General features: G+C 41.7%; 1 protein-coding gene across 2 annotated transcripts in view, besides 1 other annotated feature; it reads left to right on the plus strand.

Annotated features, from left to right (window-relative positions):
* Window positions 1-15,238, plus strand: part of APBB1IP (amyloid beta precursor protein binding family B member 1 interacting protein) — a 129,463-nt gene that overhangs the window by 23,513 nt on the left and 90,712 nt on the right. The window lies entirely within an intron of this gene.
* Window positions 3,251-3,300: a silencer, noted in NCBI's record as "silent region_2235". NCBI's record gives its function as "represses an Ori minimal core promoter by ATAC-STARR-seq in GM12878 lymphoblastoid cells {active_cell/tissue: GM12878}" and the evidence as "EXISTENCE:reporter gene assay evidence [ECO:0000049][PMID:35858748]".

The following is a 15,238-nucleotide window of genomic DNA, read 5'->3' on the forward strand; positions in this document are numbered from 1 at the left end:
GCCATGTCATTTTCTAATATTTATTGGTGTATATATAGGAACACTACTGATGTGTATATATTTACTTCACATCAGCCACCTTATTAATTCTACTATTCACACTACAATTCTCTTGAATTGTTTATGTAGACAATTGTATCACCTCCATATTTTGCTAACTTTGTCTTTTCTCCAGGATCTGCAGGCCAAATCCACGTGGCTGCTTCTGTAGATAATGTTTTATTGGCACTAGCCATGCTTGTTTGTTTACGTAGTGTCTACAACAGCAGACTTGTGTGGTTCTGACAAAGACCATCTGACTTGCAAAACCTGAAGTATTTGCTGTCTTGTCCCTTATAAAAAAAAGTTTCCCAAGTCCTGCCATTGACTGTTTATAAATTTAAGATCTTTTTCTGGACCTCTTATTGTTAAGGACAACCAAAACAAAACTAAATAGTAGCAATAATGGCGGGACCCCTTTGACTTGTGTTTTACATTGGAACATTTTTGGTGTTTTACAGTTAGAATGATGGTTGCCATTGGTTTCTGGTAGATAACCTCTATCAAGTTAAGGAAAACACTAACCATTTCAACCTTACTAAGAGATTTTTATCAGGAGTGGGTATTGGATTTTAGGAACTTCCTACTCACCATGCATTGAGATGATCATATAGTATCTCATTTAATATTTTAACTTAGTGAATTATTCTGATACATTTCCCACTGGTGAGTTGTTCTTGTATACTTGGTTATTATGTACTATCCTTTTAATGTATTTATGGGATCAATTTTTGAAAATTTTGTTTGGGATTTTTTCATCTATATTTGTAAGTAATAGTGATTTGTTGTTTTCCTATTTTAGGAATGCTTTTTTTAGTGGCAACTCATTCTTGTTGCTGTCATCTTAAATCTCTCTGAAGACAGCAATTGGAATTTCTTAAAAGCCTCTCTTCTATTTCTTTCATCCACTCAATTTCCTCTGGGGTCAATATCTTGGTTTTTAATCTCGATGCTTCATGCTCTTGTTACTCCTCAAATGTTTGATGACCCCGATTGTCGACTCATAATTTTAATGAAAGGGTTAGAATGACATAGAAGGTGGTATGGATTTACTTGGGAACTAGAGCAAGCCTCCTTCTGGACTGAGAGGCTGACTGTGGCATTCTGTAGATGAACATGGGCATTTATAGACAGATCTACCCTTTGGGTTGGATGAAGATCAGACAGTAAACTTCAGCCATCGTTGAGCGTTATTTGCCGAAGCCAGCAAAAATATGTACTGAAAATGGAGCACCCAAGAGTGCTTAGTAAAATTCACTGGAAGGCCAGGCGTGGTGGCTCACACCTGAAATCTCAGCCTTTTGAGAGGCAGAGGTGGGAGAATCATTTGGTGCTAGGAGTTCAAGACTAGCCTGGGCAAGATAGTGAGATCCCATCTTTACCAAAAAATTCAAAAAATTAGCTGGGGATAGTGTCACACACTTGTAGTCCTAGCTACTCAGGAGGCTAAGGCGAGAGAATTACTTGAACCCAGGAGTTTGAAGCTGTAGTGAGCTATGACTGTGCCACTGTACTCCAGCCTGAGTGACAGAGTGGGACCCCATGTCTAAAATTTTTAAAAAAATGTAAAACTTCACTGGAATGTGGAAATTTCTTTTCCCACTCCCTTCTGATTGATTGATTGGATGCTTGGCTGGTTGGATGGGAATCTGCCTGACTGTTATGGTGTCCCAAGCTTTCTGGGCACTGCTCTACTTGTTTTTTGGCTCAAGACCCACCTTTGGAATCAATGAGGTATTTTTTCCACGTTATTTAAGGCAAGGGTTCTTGCTGATTGTAGACTGGGGGTGATTATGGCAGCCCATTGTTGACAGGGAAGTCAAATGGCCCATAGCATTTTTAAAAAATGTTTACTTTAAGGTCTGGGATACATGTGCAGAATGTGCAGGTTTGTTACATATGTATGCATGTGCCATGGTGGTTTGCTGCACCTATCAACCCATCATCTAGGTTTTAAGCCCCACATGCATTAGGTATTTGTCCTAATGTTCCCCGCCACTTGCCCCCAACCCCGGACAGGCCCTGGTGTGTGATATTCCCTTCCCTGTGTCTATGTGTTCTCATTATTCAACTCCCACTTATGAGTGAGAACAGGACCATAACATTTTAAATAGTGATTCCTCTGGTTGGTTGTCCCTGGATTCCCATCCTTGCTGACCTGGAGCTTGGGTGTCTGTCTTGGCTCTGTCTTCAGCAGCCCTCCTCTAGATCCATACTGGACTCCACATTTTTTGCTTTAGTTACTCAGTATCTACAGTCCCTTCTCTGTAGCATCTTCCAGAAGTTTCTCAACATTTTGATCTACTCATACCATCCTTCCATGCTTTCCAGACTGTTATAAAGTCATTTCATTGGAATTTTAGGAGACAGTATATAGTCACCCCCACTATTTGGAACTAGTTTTCAGTACATTTTAAATGTATTAATACCCACCTATATGCAAACACCGCTATGTACCAGTTGCTGTGCCCAGGCCTGACTGTGCTCATTTAGTCCTCGTGACAAATTTATTTTATTTTATTTTTTGAGACAAGGTCCCACTCTGTTACCCAGGCTGGAGTGCAGTGGCACAATCATGGTCCATTGCAGCCTCAGATTCCCAGGCTCAAGTGATCCTCCCACCTCAACCTGCTAAGTAGCTGGGACCACAGGAACACGATACCATGCCCAACTAATTATTATTACTTGTATGTGTGTGTGGAGACAGGTTCTTGTTGTGTTGCCCAGGCTGGTCTCAAACTCCTGGCCTCAAGAGATCCTCCCACCTTAGGTTCCCAAAGTTCTGGGATTACAGGCGTGAGCCACCATGCCCAGACCATAATAATTTTATGAATTTTCCCAGCCCTGTTTTACAGATGAAAAAACTGAGGCTGAACCAAGTTAAGTAAGTTACTCAACATCATGCAGTAGTTAGCATTGAACCTGAGTTTGACTCATTCAGTTACCACATTCACACCTAATAAGTTTTCTGATGATACAGCAGGGCCCCAACAGGTACCATCTGAAGGACAAACAGGGATAAATCCAAGTTCCTTATTCTCTGTTTTTATTTTATTGATATATGAATTAAATAGAGAATTCACTTTTGTGGTCTAAGCAAAACCAACAGAGAACTCTGGGGCATTCTCTGTTTGCAAAGACATTATTTCCATTTTAGACATGTGCTTTCTCGCACAGCTGTAAGAGAGAAATGAAAAATACAGTAGCTGCAGACCAGGCGTGATTCCCATGTAGACTGTGCAGAGAAAACTATGATTAAATTAAAAGGCTGTCATTTTCCATATATGAAAAAACTACCCATAGGAAAGTGTGTGTCAGTATTCATCAAAAAGAAATTGAAGAAATTCATGTAGAGCATAAAATGTGATCAGATGTCCACTGAATTGACAGGCACCCTTCATTGCTTCATGAATGTGCTCAGATCTTAACTAGTTTGCTGTTTGTGACACTCTGTAGACAGGTACATGTCTAGCTAGTTGACATATTCAAGGACACAAATTTCTATTTTTTTCGTGACAAACATCTCATCATTATGGCAAAAGAAAATAAATTAGTAATAATGCTGACATTTTATATATTATGTGTCATAATGATATAATAATTACTCATTGTAATTAATAATAAATTAATGATTTTTGCACCTTCTGATGGGTAGATACAATGCTCAAATTCTCCATAGAAAAGATATTTACATTTTTAAAGAAAAAATTATAATTATGTCATTATTAATTGTTAATGTTCATCACTTAGTAATTATCATTTTTAGGTGACTAAAGACTGACATTTTGGGCATGTTTAAGCACTGAATTTTGACATAAACATGTCATTCACCAGATGTGTGTCCTTGTGTGATACCTATCTTCTCAGAGCCTTCATTTCTTCACTTGCACAATGAGGATAATATATTTTGCAGAGAAGTGGAAAGGATGAGAGGCATAACCTCTAAAGCATAATATATTGCCAGATGCAGGTGCCCTGGAAATGGTAGGTATTAGGATAATTTGTTACACTTATCAATTTCTGCTCAACGAACCACCCCAAACTTAGAGGTGTAAAGCAGACCATTTTATTATGGCTGCAGGTTCTGTGGGTCAGGAATTCCGACAGTCCACAGCAGGGCTAGCTTGTATCAGCTCCATGATGTCTGTGACCTCAGCTGGGAAGACTTGAGCAGTTGGGGGTGACCCAAAAAGCAGGAAACTGGGCTCATCTGGAGGGTTTTTCACTCTCTTTCCTGGTCCCTGGGCTGAGCTAGGACTGGCAGTGATGAGATCCCCTTCTACAGCCCCTCCGGGTGTCCTGGGCTTCTACTATCGAGGCAGCTGGGCTTCCAGAAGGAATGTCTGGAGAATGAATATTCTGAGAGGCCCAGATAGGTGGCTTTTGATGGGGGGACTTCCAGAGTCACATGGTGGCATCCACCACAGCCATCACAAGGCTGGTCAAGTTCAAGGCGATGGGACACAGACCCCACTTCTTAATGGGAGAAGTGTCAAAGAATAGGAGGCCCATCACCATCATTATCATTACACTGTGAGTATGTTTCTTGAATATGAGTAAAGAAAGAAAGTTTTTCATCATCCAACAGGAATTAAGTGAATATTTGCTTCAAGAAGTTATCCAGTTGGCTGGATACAGTGGCTCACACCTATAATCCCAGCACTTTGGGTGGCCGAGGTGGGAAGATCACTTGAGGCCAGGAGGTCAAGACCAGCCTGCGCAACATAGCAAGAACTCGGCCCCACAAAAAATTTAAAGATTAGCCAGGCATGGTGGTACATACCTGTAGTCCCAGCTACTCAGGAGGCTGAAATGGGAGGATTGCTTGAGGCCAGTGGGTGGAGCCCAGCTTGGGCAACGTAGTGAGACCTCGTCCCTACAAAAAATTTAAAAATTAGCCAGGCATGGTGGCGCATACCTGTAGCCCCAGCTACTCAGGATACTGAAGTGGGAAGATTGCTTGAGCCCAGGAGTTTGAAGCTGCATTGAGTTATGATCACACCACTGCATTCCAGCCTGGATGACAGAGCAAGACCCTATGGAAAAAAAAAAAATTATGTAGTTGTCCAGGGCAGGAACATTAATAGTGAGAATGAGTTTGATTCCCTAATACATAGCTTAACACCAGATTTTTTTTCATTCTGTACCTCTAAATAATAAAAAGATGTGATCATTTGTAATGTTTTTTTTTAATATAGAGATGGGGTTTCACCATGTTGGCCAGGCTGGTCTCGAACTCCTGGCCTCAAGCGATCCACCTGCCTTGGCCTCCCAAAGTACTGAGATTACAGGCGTGAGCCACCGTGCCCAGCCTTCTAATGCATTTTTAACTTTGAGAATAGAAGTATGAGGGATGCTGTTTTTTCCTCATGCTTGACATGAAGCAAAAGCAAGTTTTGCCTTCACTAATGTATTTAGTTCTCATAATCCCTTTACATACTTACTTGCCTTTGCCTTTAAATTAAAAAAAAAAAGTTGTTACCTACCTGTAGAGCAGTGGTTCTCAAACTTTAATATGCAATAGAATCATATGGAAAGCTTGCTAAACACAGATTATCGGGCCCCACCCCAAGAGTTCTGATTCCATAATTGTGTTCAAGACCAGCCTGGGCAACATAGTGAGACTTTGTCTTTACAAAAGATTTTTAAAATTATCCCAACATGATGGTGCACACCTATAGTCCCAGTTACTATAGAGGTGGCTGAGGTGAGTGGATCACTTAAGCCCAGGAGCTCAAGACTGCTGTGAGCTACGATCATGCCACTGCACTCCAGCCTGGACAACACAGCAAGACTCTGTCTCTAGCAATAATACTTTTGAGGTGGGGCCAAGAATTTTTATTTCAGTAAGAAGTGTCTGGGTGATGCTGGTCTGAAGACTCACACTTTGAGAACCACTGTTTCTGAGAAAATGTAGAACCAAACCCAAAGCTTAGCTTTGATCTCACCAAATTACTCAACTATGCAAACCTGCAAGAGCTTTTAAGTGTCTCGTAATCGCTTATGAGATTTATGTACTAACTATAAGAAGAACAGCAACAATGATAGAAACTACAACCGCTATCACCACTTACTGAGTGTTTAACACACATCAGACATTTGGCAAGCACTTTGCACCCATTATTTTATGGAATCCTTACAAAGCCCACTGAAATATTCCAATTTTACAGATGAAGAAACTAAGGCCGTATTATGGCTAAGTTTCCCAACATCCACAGTAAATGAAAAGCTGGACCCATGTCTTTCAGAATCCAAAATCCTTGCTCATGCTCTTAATAGCTAACTTCTCCCCATCCTCTCAGGTGGCCAAGAGCAACTCCTCATCCCAAGAGAAATAATAGTCTCTCTTCTTTGGCTCCTTATTATTTTATTTATTCCTTTTATAAAATTATTGTTACATAGTATAGTGCTAAGTTATTTTTATGTCTGTCACCCTCTTCAGACTTTAAACTTTATTGATTCATTTAACAAATATTCAAGGTATGAATTCTAGCAATGACCTAACAGAGAGTTTGCATTCCATAAATGCTTCTTGAGCTAATGAGTGAATGAAATCAGAAGGGAAAAATCAGGGCAGAAAACCTTGACCCGTCACTGTGTAGATGAATGAGTTTCTGTGAAAATGAACAAGTGATTGTTATGTGTATATGTTCGTGGGTTCCCTGTTTCTCTAGGTCACACCAGACTAAGTTACAATTGGGAAACATTATTATTAGGTTGGTGCAAAAGTAATTGCGGTTTTCACAATTAAGAGTAATGGCCAAAACCACAATTAGTTTTGCACCAACCTAATATAACAGTAACTAAGTAATAGCCACTGGTCCAGCCATCCTTGGTGGAGTCTCTGCAAGCCCAGCTCATCGGCTCTTTCTGGCTTGTTCCTGCTCCTGTTCACAGAGTCCTGGATGTGTCTCACAGGAACCCTCCGATGTCACTGCCCTGTGCAAAGGATTTCATCATTCCTGTTGCACCTTCTGTGGCTCCCAGTGGCAGGACAGTCGTGTCCCCACAGGCTTATGCACTGCTCCTGGGGTTACCTGGATTTGACCCCTCCTGAGGTGGCGGTGTCTGCCTTCCTCTGATCTCTGTGCAACTGCTGCGGGCTGAGATGTTACTCTAGGCACTTCTAACATAAACCACAAGACAGAGACCTGTGCTTTTGACTTCCGTTAGGGTCTCAAAAGATAGTCCTTTTCTTCTTCTTTTTTTTTTTTCACTTTAACACTTTTTAAATTTTTAACTTTTTGACTCTTGAAATAAGACTTAGCTGAAAAACACATACATTGTATAGCTGTACAAAAATATTTTTATATCCTTATTCTATTTATCTATTTATATAAGTGTTTTCTTTCCTTCTTTTCTTTTCTTTTTTTTTTTTTTTTTTTGAGACAGAGTCTTGCTCTGTTGCTCAGGCTGGAGTGCAGTGGAGCGATCTCAGCTCACTGCAACCTCTGCCTCCCAGCTCAAGCCATTCTCCCAACCTCAACCTCCTGAATAGTTGAGATGACAGGCGTGCACCACCACACTCGGCTATTTTTAGTAGAGACTGGGTTTCACCATGCTGGCCAGGCTGGTCTCAAACTCCCAACCTCATGTGATCCATCTGCCTGGCCTCCCAAAGTGCTGGGATTACAGGCGTGAACCACCGCACCTGGCCAATATAAGCATTTTCTATTTTTTAATTCTTTTTTTAACTTCTTATTTTTATTTTTCAACTTTTATTTTAGATTCATTGGATACGTGTACAAGTTTGTCACTGGGTATATTGTGTGATGCCAAGGTTTGTGGTACAGATGATCCCATCACCCGGGTACTGAGCATAGTCCTGAACATTAAACCCAACAGTCAGGTTTTCAAACTTGCCTCTCCTCCCTCCTTCCCCACTCTAGTGGTCCCCAAAGTCTATTGTTCCCATCTCTATATCCATGAGTACGTGATGTTCAGCTCGTACTTATAAGTGAGAACATGCAGTATTTGATTTTCTGTTCCTGTATTAATCCACTTAGGACTTTTCTTTTTTTAAATCCTTTTCCCTTTTATTTCAACTCATGATCTCCCCTTCCTCACTAACTACAACCAACAACAACCCCAACCAACTACAACACAGGGGCCAGGTTGTTCCTCTGGTGGGGAAAGGATGGGGCAAGTGGCGGGGACCCTGGTCAGGAGACAGTTGGATCTAATAGTCCCTGACTCACAATGTTCCACTTAATGATTTTCCACTATATGGTGGTGCAAAAGCAACACACATTTAGTAGAAACTGTATTTCAAGGACCCATACAACCATTCTGCTTTACACTTTCAATAAAGTATCCAGTGAATTACATAAGATGTTCAACTCTTCATTATAAAAGAGGCTCGGACTGGGCACAGTGTTTCATGCCTGTAATCCCAGCACTTTGGGAGGCCAAGGCAGGTGGATCACCTGAGGACAGGAGTTTGAGACCACCCTGACCAATATGGTGAAACCCCATCTCTACTAAAAATACAAAAAAATTAGCCGGATGTGGAGGCAGGCGCCTGTAATCCCAGCTACTAGGGAGGCTGAGGCAGGAGAATTGCTTGAACCCAGGAAGAAGAGGTTGCAGTGAGCCAAGATCGTGCCACTGTACTCCAGCCTAGGCGACAGAGCGAGACTCCATCTCAAAATAAGTAAATAAATAAATATGTTCGTTAGATGATTTTGCCCAACTATAGGCTAGTGTAAGTTCTGAATACATTTAAGTTAGGCTATACTAAGCTACAGTGTGCAGTAGGTTAGGTGTATTAAATTCATTTTCGACTTAGGGATATTTTCAATTTACGATGGGTTTTTCCAGACTTAGTCCCATTGTAAGTTGAGGAGCATCCATAATATGCCACGCAATAGTCAACGTCCTGCTTCTATCCAAACCCACGGTCAGAGTCACCAACCTCAGCCTGTGTCCTTGCCCATCATCTCTCACCAACCTCAGCCTGTGTAATTGCCCATAATCTCTCACCAACCTCAGCCTGCGTCCTTGCCCATCATCTGTCCAGGCATCTGGGGTAGCTCCATGATTACTGCAGTTCCAATGGCTTCATGATAGTAAGAGCAACACTTACTGAACTTTCAGTTCTAAGCCAGAGCCTCCTGTAAGCACTTCACATGCATTAACTTATCGAATTCTCACCTTGACCTCATGAAATAGCTTATCATCACACCTTTTCTAAAGATTAAAAAAAAACTAAAGCACTGAGAGGTTAAATAACTTGCCCAAGATTACACAGCCAATAAGTGTCAGGGCTGGGTTTTGAACTCTGTCCTTGCCTCTGGACAAGGGTTTTGTCTGCATCATGTGGCTCAGTGGTCCTCTAGACCGAAGCTCACCTAGATGGCCCCACATATCACAAGAGATACGTGCACAAAATAGAGACCCCCACACTGCACACGGGGCTAATTCTGCAAGATAATTTTGGGGAGGAATCTTAACTATTACTTTTTGTTTTATGTTAATGAATGAATCATTCTGAATGTGGGAGGTAAAGACTCAGTTCCTTTCTTGCTTCCAAATAACAGAGTGAAAAATATTGTCAGTAGCATCTTTGAGGAGGAAGGGAGAATATTTACTAAGAAATGCAGGAAAAGAATTAAAACTGGATTGTCACTGAAAAATCATATGGTAGCTCAGATTCTTCTGATATAAAGTTTTTTCTATGGTATGGATCACCCAATGTATTGTGGACATACAGACAGTCACAGAAATGACCGTAAATCCTTCCTTCCAAACAGAGAGAGGTAAAAGGCACCTTGGGACCTGCACTGTTTAAGCTTTTTTTGTTTTTTTTTGTGAGACAGAGTCTTGCTCTGTCGCCAGGCTGGAGGTCAGTGGCGCAATCTCGGCTCACTGCAACCTCCGCCTCCTGGGTTCAAGCGATTCCCCAGCCTGAGCCTCCCAAATAGCTAGGATGACAGGCACGTGCCACCATGCCTGGCTTATTTTTTATATTTTAGTAGAGATGGGGTTTCACCATGTTGGCCAAGATGGTCTCCATCTCCTGACCTCATGATCCGCCCTCCTCGGCCTCCCAAAGTGCTGGGATTACAGGCGTGAGCCACTGTGCCCGGCCTGTTTGAGCTTATTCATGCAAACTTTAGCAGACTTGACTGGGATTTTTACTAACAGCTCTAATCCTCTGGGGTTTTCAGTGACAGATGCAGAACGTTGACCAAGATGGGTGGGGGCTGCGGGGGGAAGAAAAACAGAAAATCCCTCACCCCACAGAAAAGCAAGAGTTGGTTGATAGTTCCAGTTTTATCCTTGAGCCACACCGCATGTAATTTTTCTGCACATGAAAACATCTGGCTCAGATCATCATATCTTGAAAAGAAGAGCAAGCTACACATTTTCAACAATAGAGCTGATTAAATTATAGTGCAGTGCATCCACAGGAAAGAGGCCTGGAGCCATGAAAGTGGCTTTGGAATAATGCCCAATAATAGAAAGGAAAGCATTTTACAATCGCTATGGTCTGTATGGACCCACCTTCTCCTCATGTCTTTATCTCTATTTCCCACCCACTTCTGAAGGAGTTCAGTTTGGCTTCTACCCTCAACACTCCTGCACTGATAACCAGGGAGGTATCTGTGCAGTTAAAGCCAAAGGTCATTCTTTCATTTTCATCTTGAGAACATTCAGTATCCTCATCGTGTTTGTTTCATTCATTCATTCATTCATTCATTCATTCACATTTTCTTTTGGACATGAGAGATGATGCATTAAATGTTGAAAAACATCTTGGCCAGGCACAGTCAAGATCACATGTATAATCCCAGCACTCCGGGAGGCCAAGGCCGGCAGATCACCTGAAGTCAGGAGTTCGAGACCAGCCTGGCCAATATAGTGAAACCCCGTCTCTACTAAAAATACAAAAATTAGCCAGGCATGGTGCCACACTTCTGTAGTCCCAGCTACTCAGGAGGGTGAGGCAGGAGAATCACTTGAACCCGGGAGGCAGAGGTTGCAGTGAGCTGATATTGCACCACTGCACTCCAGCCTGGGCGACAGGGGGAGACTTCATCAAAAACAAAAAGAAAAAGATCTTAAGAGATAACAGCATACAGTTATTCATAGAGGTACATATCATTTCTTCTTAGGATTACAAAAGAAGTGTGTCTTCACTTCTTTACATTGACAATACAAAGATTCTAAGGCATATGGAACAGGCTAGGACCCTCAACTCTTTGTTACTCAAGCCCTTAGTCTTGTTCCTTACAACTTTTAGAGCTCACAACATGATTTTTAGGTTTATCAAAAAATGTCATGAATGTTTCTATATTTCTTGTTGGTTTATTTCTCATTATTGAGTTATATATTGCTGGAAGTTTAACAACTTCTCTTGAATTCCAACAGGAAGCATTTGCTAGGTAGGCATTTGGTACCTAATGGATAATCTTTCATGATGGATAAATCTGCCACATCAGTCTCTCTTGACTTTGAAAATTAAAATCTGGGCACTTTGGGAATTTCTGCTGTCTTAATTGGCTGGCCTGTCCTGTGAACAGCCGTCTTCTCTAAATGGTATAATAACTGCATTTCAGCGCTGTCTCATTGTGAGTCTTTTTGAAAGCTTTTAAAATGATGTTGTGTGATCCAAATTTAAATTAATAGTTAAGCAGTGTGTTCTACCACCAATGCAAATAACTCAACTGAATGACAATTGGATCCTGCTTCACTCAGTTTGCGCATAAATGGTTGAGGAAAACTACATCATAGGTGACCCCCGTTGGTGGTAGCCAAATTTCATAGTCTACTGTGTGAACCATCATGATTTCAGAAGCACTAAAATATAGAAACATACATTCTTGGCCAGGCACAGTGGCCCATGCCTGTAATTCCAACACTTTGGGAGGCCGAGGTGGGCAGATCACTTGAGGCCAAGAGTTTGAGACTAGCCTGTCCAACATGGTGAAACCCCATCTCTACTAAAAATACAAAAATTACCCAGGTTTGGGGGTGCATGCCTGTAATCCGAGCTACTTAGGAGGCTGAGGCATGAGAATTGCTTGAACGCCGGAGGCAGAGGTTACAGTGAGCCGAGATCGCACCACTGCACTCCAGCCTGGGTGACAGAGCCACCCTGTCTCAAAAAAAAAAAAAAAAAAAAAAAGTATGTTCTTGAATAGAAGAAATATGTTGTCACTATTTCTCCTTTTGGTTTCAGTGATTTTTTTTAATGTTCTCCAGCAATTTGTGGATTTATTTTGCAATTAGAAACAACTCACAAAACAACTACCAGTTCTAGCGTGGGCTGTGGTAGATTGAGCCTTTCAGAGAGTGTATGAAGTGGTGGTTTCAGCTCTCCAGTGGCTGTATCCTGCCTTCTAAGCAAAGCCTGGAATTTGTGCTCTGCCTAGGGCTGATGCCCAAACCTCAGTGGACAGGCCTGGTTTTCATTACTCCAGTAATAAGCAAGTTCATTACTTCATTGCTTGGAATCTTTAGCAAATATCCCCTCTGGGCTCCTGGAAGTTAAAAAGCCATTTGACACTAATATGCTCATGCTAAGTAAAAGAATTTTACTAATCGCCCAGGAAAATCTTCCTTGCACTAGAAAATGTTCATCTTCCAGTTGATGTTGAATGTTCTCTCCACAAAAATAATAACTGAGGTAAAGCATTTGTTAATTAGCTAGAACTAAGCATTCAACAATGTACACATACTTCAAAACATCCTGTTTCACATGATAAATACATAGAACTGTATCTGTTGGTTTAAAAAATAAGTTTTTTAAAAAGTAAAAAATAAATTGTCTTCCTTGCTGAAGCCAAATGAAAAATTGAGTCTAAAATATTTTAGGTTCTCCCACTTCCTCCTTCTCCATTTCCAGCTTGGAGTTGGAAGGAGAGAAAAGATTAATTTTTCTACATCATTGCTCAAAATCTTGTGATTACCAGAAAAGTTCCACTTCAGCCTGTTTATTAAGTAAGACATCTAGATCCAGGCATCTGTTTGCATCTCCTTTTTAACCAAGCTAAAGGTAGGTCTCAAGGCCATGGCCAGATCTGGACCTTGGCTTAACATTATCTGTTCTAGAGGCGGAAACGCCATCATGTCTATGAAGACATAACCCAGTTTTAGAAGTTTCTAGAAGCAGTGATGTAACAGACACCTCCCTCCTTTGAGATGAGAACGTGGCTCTATGAAAGCAGGTTTCTGTTTGACTCTCGCTGATGTGTCCGTGTCTTCCCTTGTTTTTTCTTTTTCTTTTCTTTTTTTTTTTTTTTTGAGATAGAGTCTCACTCTGTTGTCCAGGCTGGAGTGCAGTGGTGCAATCTCGGTTCACTGCAACCTCCGCCTCCCAGGTTCAAGCGATTCTCCTGCTTCAGCCTCCCAAGCATCTGGGATTATAGGCCCCTGCCACCACACCCAGCTGATTTTTATATTTTTAGTAGAGACGGGGTTTTGCCATGTTGGCCAGGCTGGTCTTGAACTCCTGACCTCACGTGATCTGCCCACCTGGGCCTCCCAGGAATGAGATTACAGGCCGGAGCCGCCGTGCCTGGCCTTCCCTTGCTTTTTCTTTGTGTGGATTTGAGTACATGTCAGATGTGCTGTGTGTGTCTAAGTGTGTGTTCCACCTGTGTTTTTCCTTCACACAATCCCAGGCCCTGATATGTTGTCTATATGGCTTATTTTCTGGAGCAGACAGGAACAGTGTAATGAAAGAGATCAGACTTGCGTTTAAATCCCATCCGGCCATGGATGTCCTGTGTGATCTTGGGCATGTCATTCGAACTCCTGACCACAAGCTCCTCATCTAAGAAAAGAGTGATATTATCTACCCCCACATGGTTTCTATGAGATTTAGACCAGATAATATATCAGCAGTACACAGGAGAGATAATATTTTTTTTCCTTTGCATAGTCTTTCCCTGCTACTGCTTTTCATTCTGCTCTTCTCCCTTCTTCCCCTTCTCTGTTTTTTGTTTGTTTGTTTTGTTTTGTTTTTTAACCCAGGTCGAGTCAATTTCAAAGGCTGGTTCTGCTTCTTTTATTCTCCAGCTTTTCATTTTGAAAAGTTTCAAAGCTTACACCAGTGCAGTGGTTCATGCCTATAATCCCAGCACTTTGGGAGGCCAAGGCCAGAGGATCGCTTGAGGCCAAGAGTTCAAGACCATCTTGGGCAAGATGCTGTCTTTATAAAAACTTTTTTTTTTTTTTTTGAGAGAGTCTCCCTCTGTGGCCCAGGCTAGGGTGCAATGCCACAATCACAGCTCAGGGCAACCTCCGCCTCCCGGGTTCAATCTATTCTCCTGCCTCAGCCTCCCGAGCAGCTGGGATTACAGATGCCCGCCACCACGCCTGGCTAATTTTTATATTTTTGGTAGAGACAGCATTTCACCATGTTGGCCAGGCTGGTCTCAAACTAAAAATTTTTTTAACTAGCTGGGCATGGTGGTGTGCACCTGTAGTCCCAGCTACTTGGGAGGCTGAAGCAGGAGGATTGCTTCAGCTCAGGAGTTCAAGGCTGCAGTGAGCTCTGATTGCACCACTGCACTCCAGTCTGTGTGACAGAGCAAGACCCTGTCTCAAAAAAAAAAAAAAAAAAAGAAGAAAAGAAAAGAAAGGAAAAGAGACAGTTTTAAAAAGTTTTAAAACTTAAAAAAAGTAAGAATCGTGTAATGGACAGGCATGTACCCTTCACCAAGATTCACTCATTATTTACATTCTGCTACATTCCTGCTTTATTTTTTTCACCATTTATCTCTTAAGAACAAAGACGTTCTGTCTTTGTTACACAATGCATGTATCACAGTACAGTAAATGTACAGTAAATGTGATCATGCTCAGTAAATGTTATGTGATTTAATACTATATTCTGATATATAGTCCATATTCAACTTTTCCAATTACCCAACAATGTCCACTTTTCTGTTTTTATTTTTATTTATTTATTCTTTTTAAGGCGGAGTCTTGCTCTGTCACCCAGGCTGGAGTACAATGGCGTGATCTCAGCTCACTACAATCTCCGCCTCCCAGGTTCAAGAGATTCTCCTGCCTCAGCCTCCTGAGTAGCTGGGATTACAGGCGTATGCCACCATGCCTGGCTAATTTTTGTATTTTTAGTAGAGGCGGGGTTTCACCATATTGGCCAGGCTGGTCTCGAACTCCTGACCTCAGCTGATCCACCCACCTCGGCCTCCCAAAGTTCTGGGATTACAGGTGTGAACCACCG

The sequence above is a fragment of the Homo sapiens genome, chromosome 10, assembly GCF_000001405.40.
Source record: "Homo sapiens chromosome 10, GRCh38.p14 Primary Assembly".
Classification (NCBI taxonomy): Eukaryota; Metazoa; Chordata; class Mammalia; order Primates; family Hominidae; genus Homo; species Homo sapiens.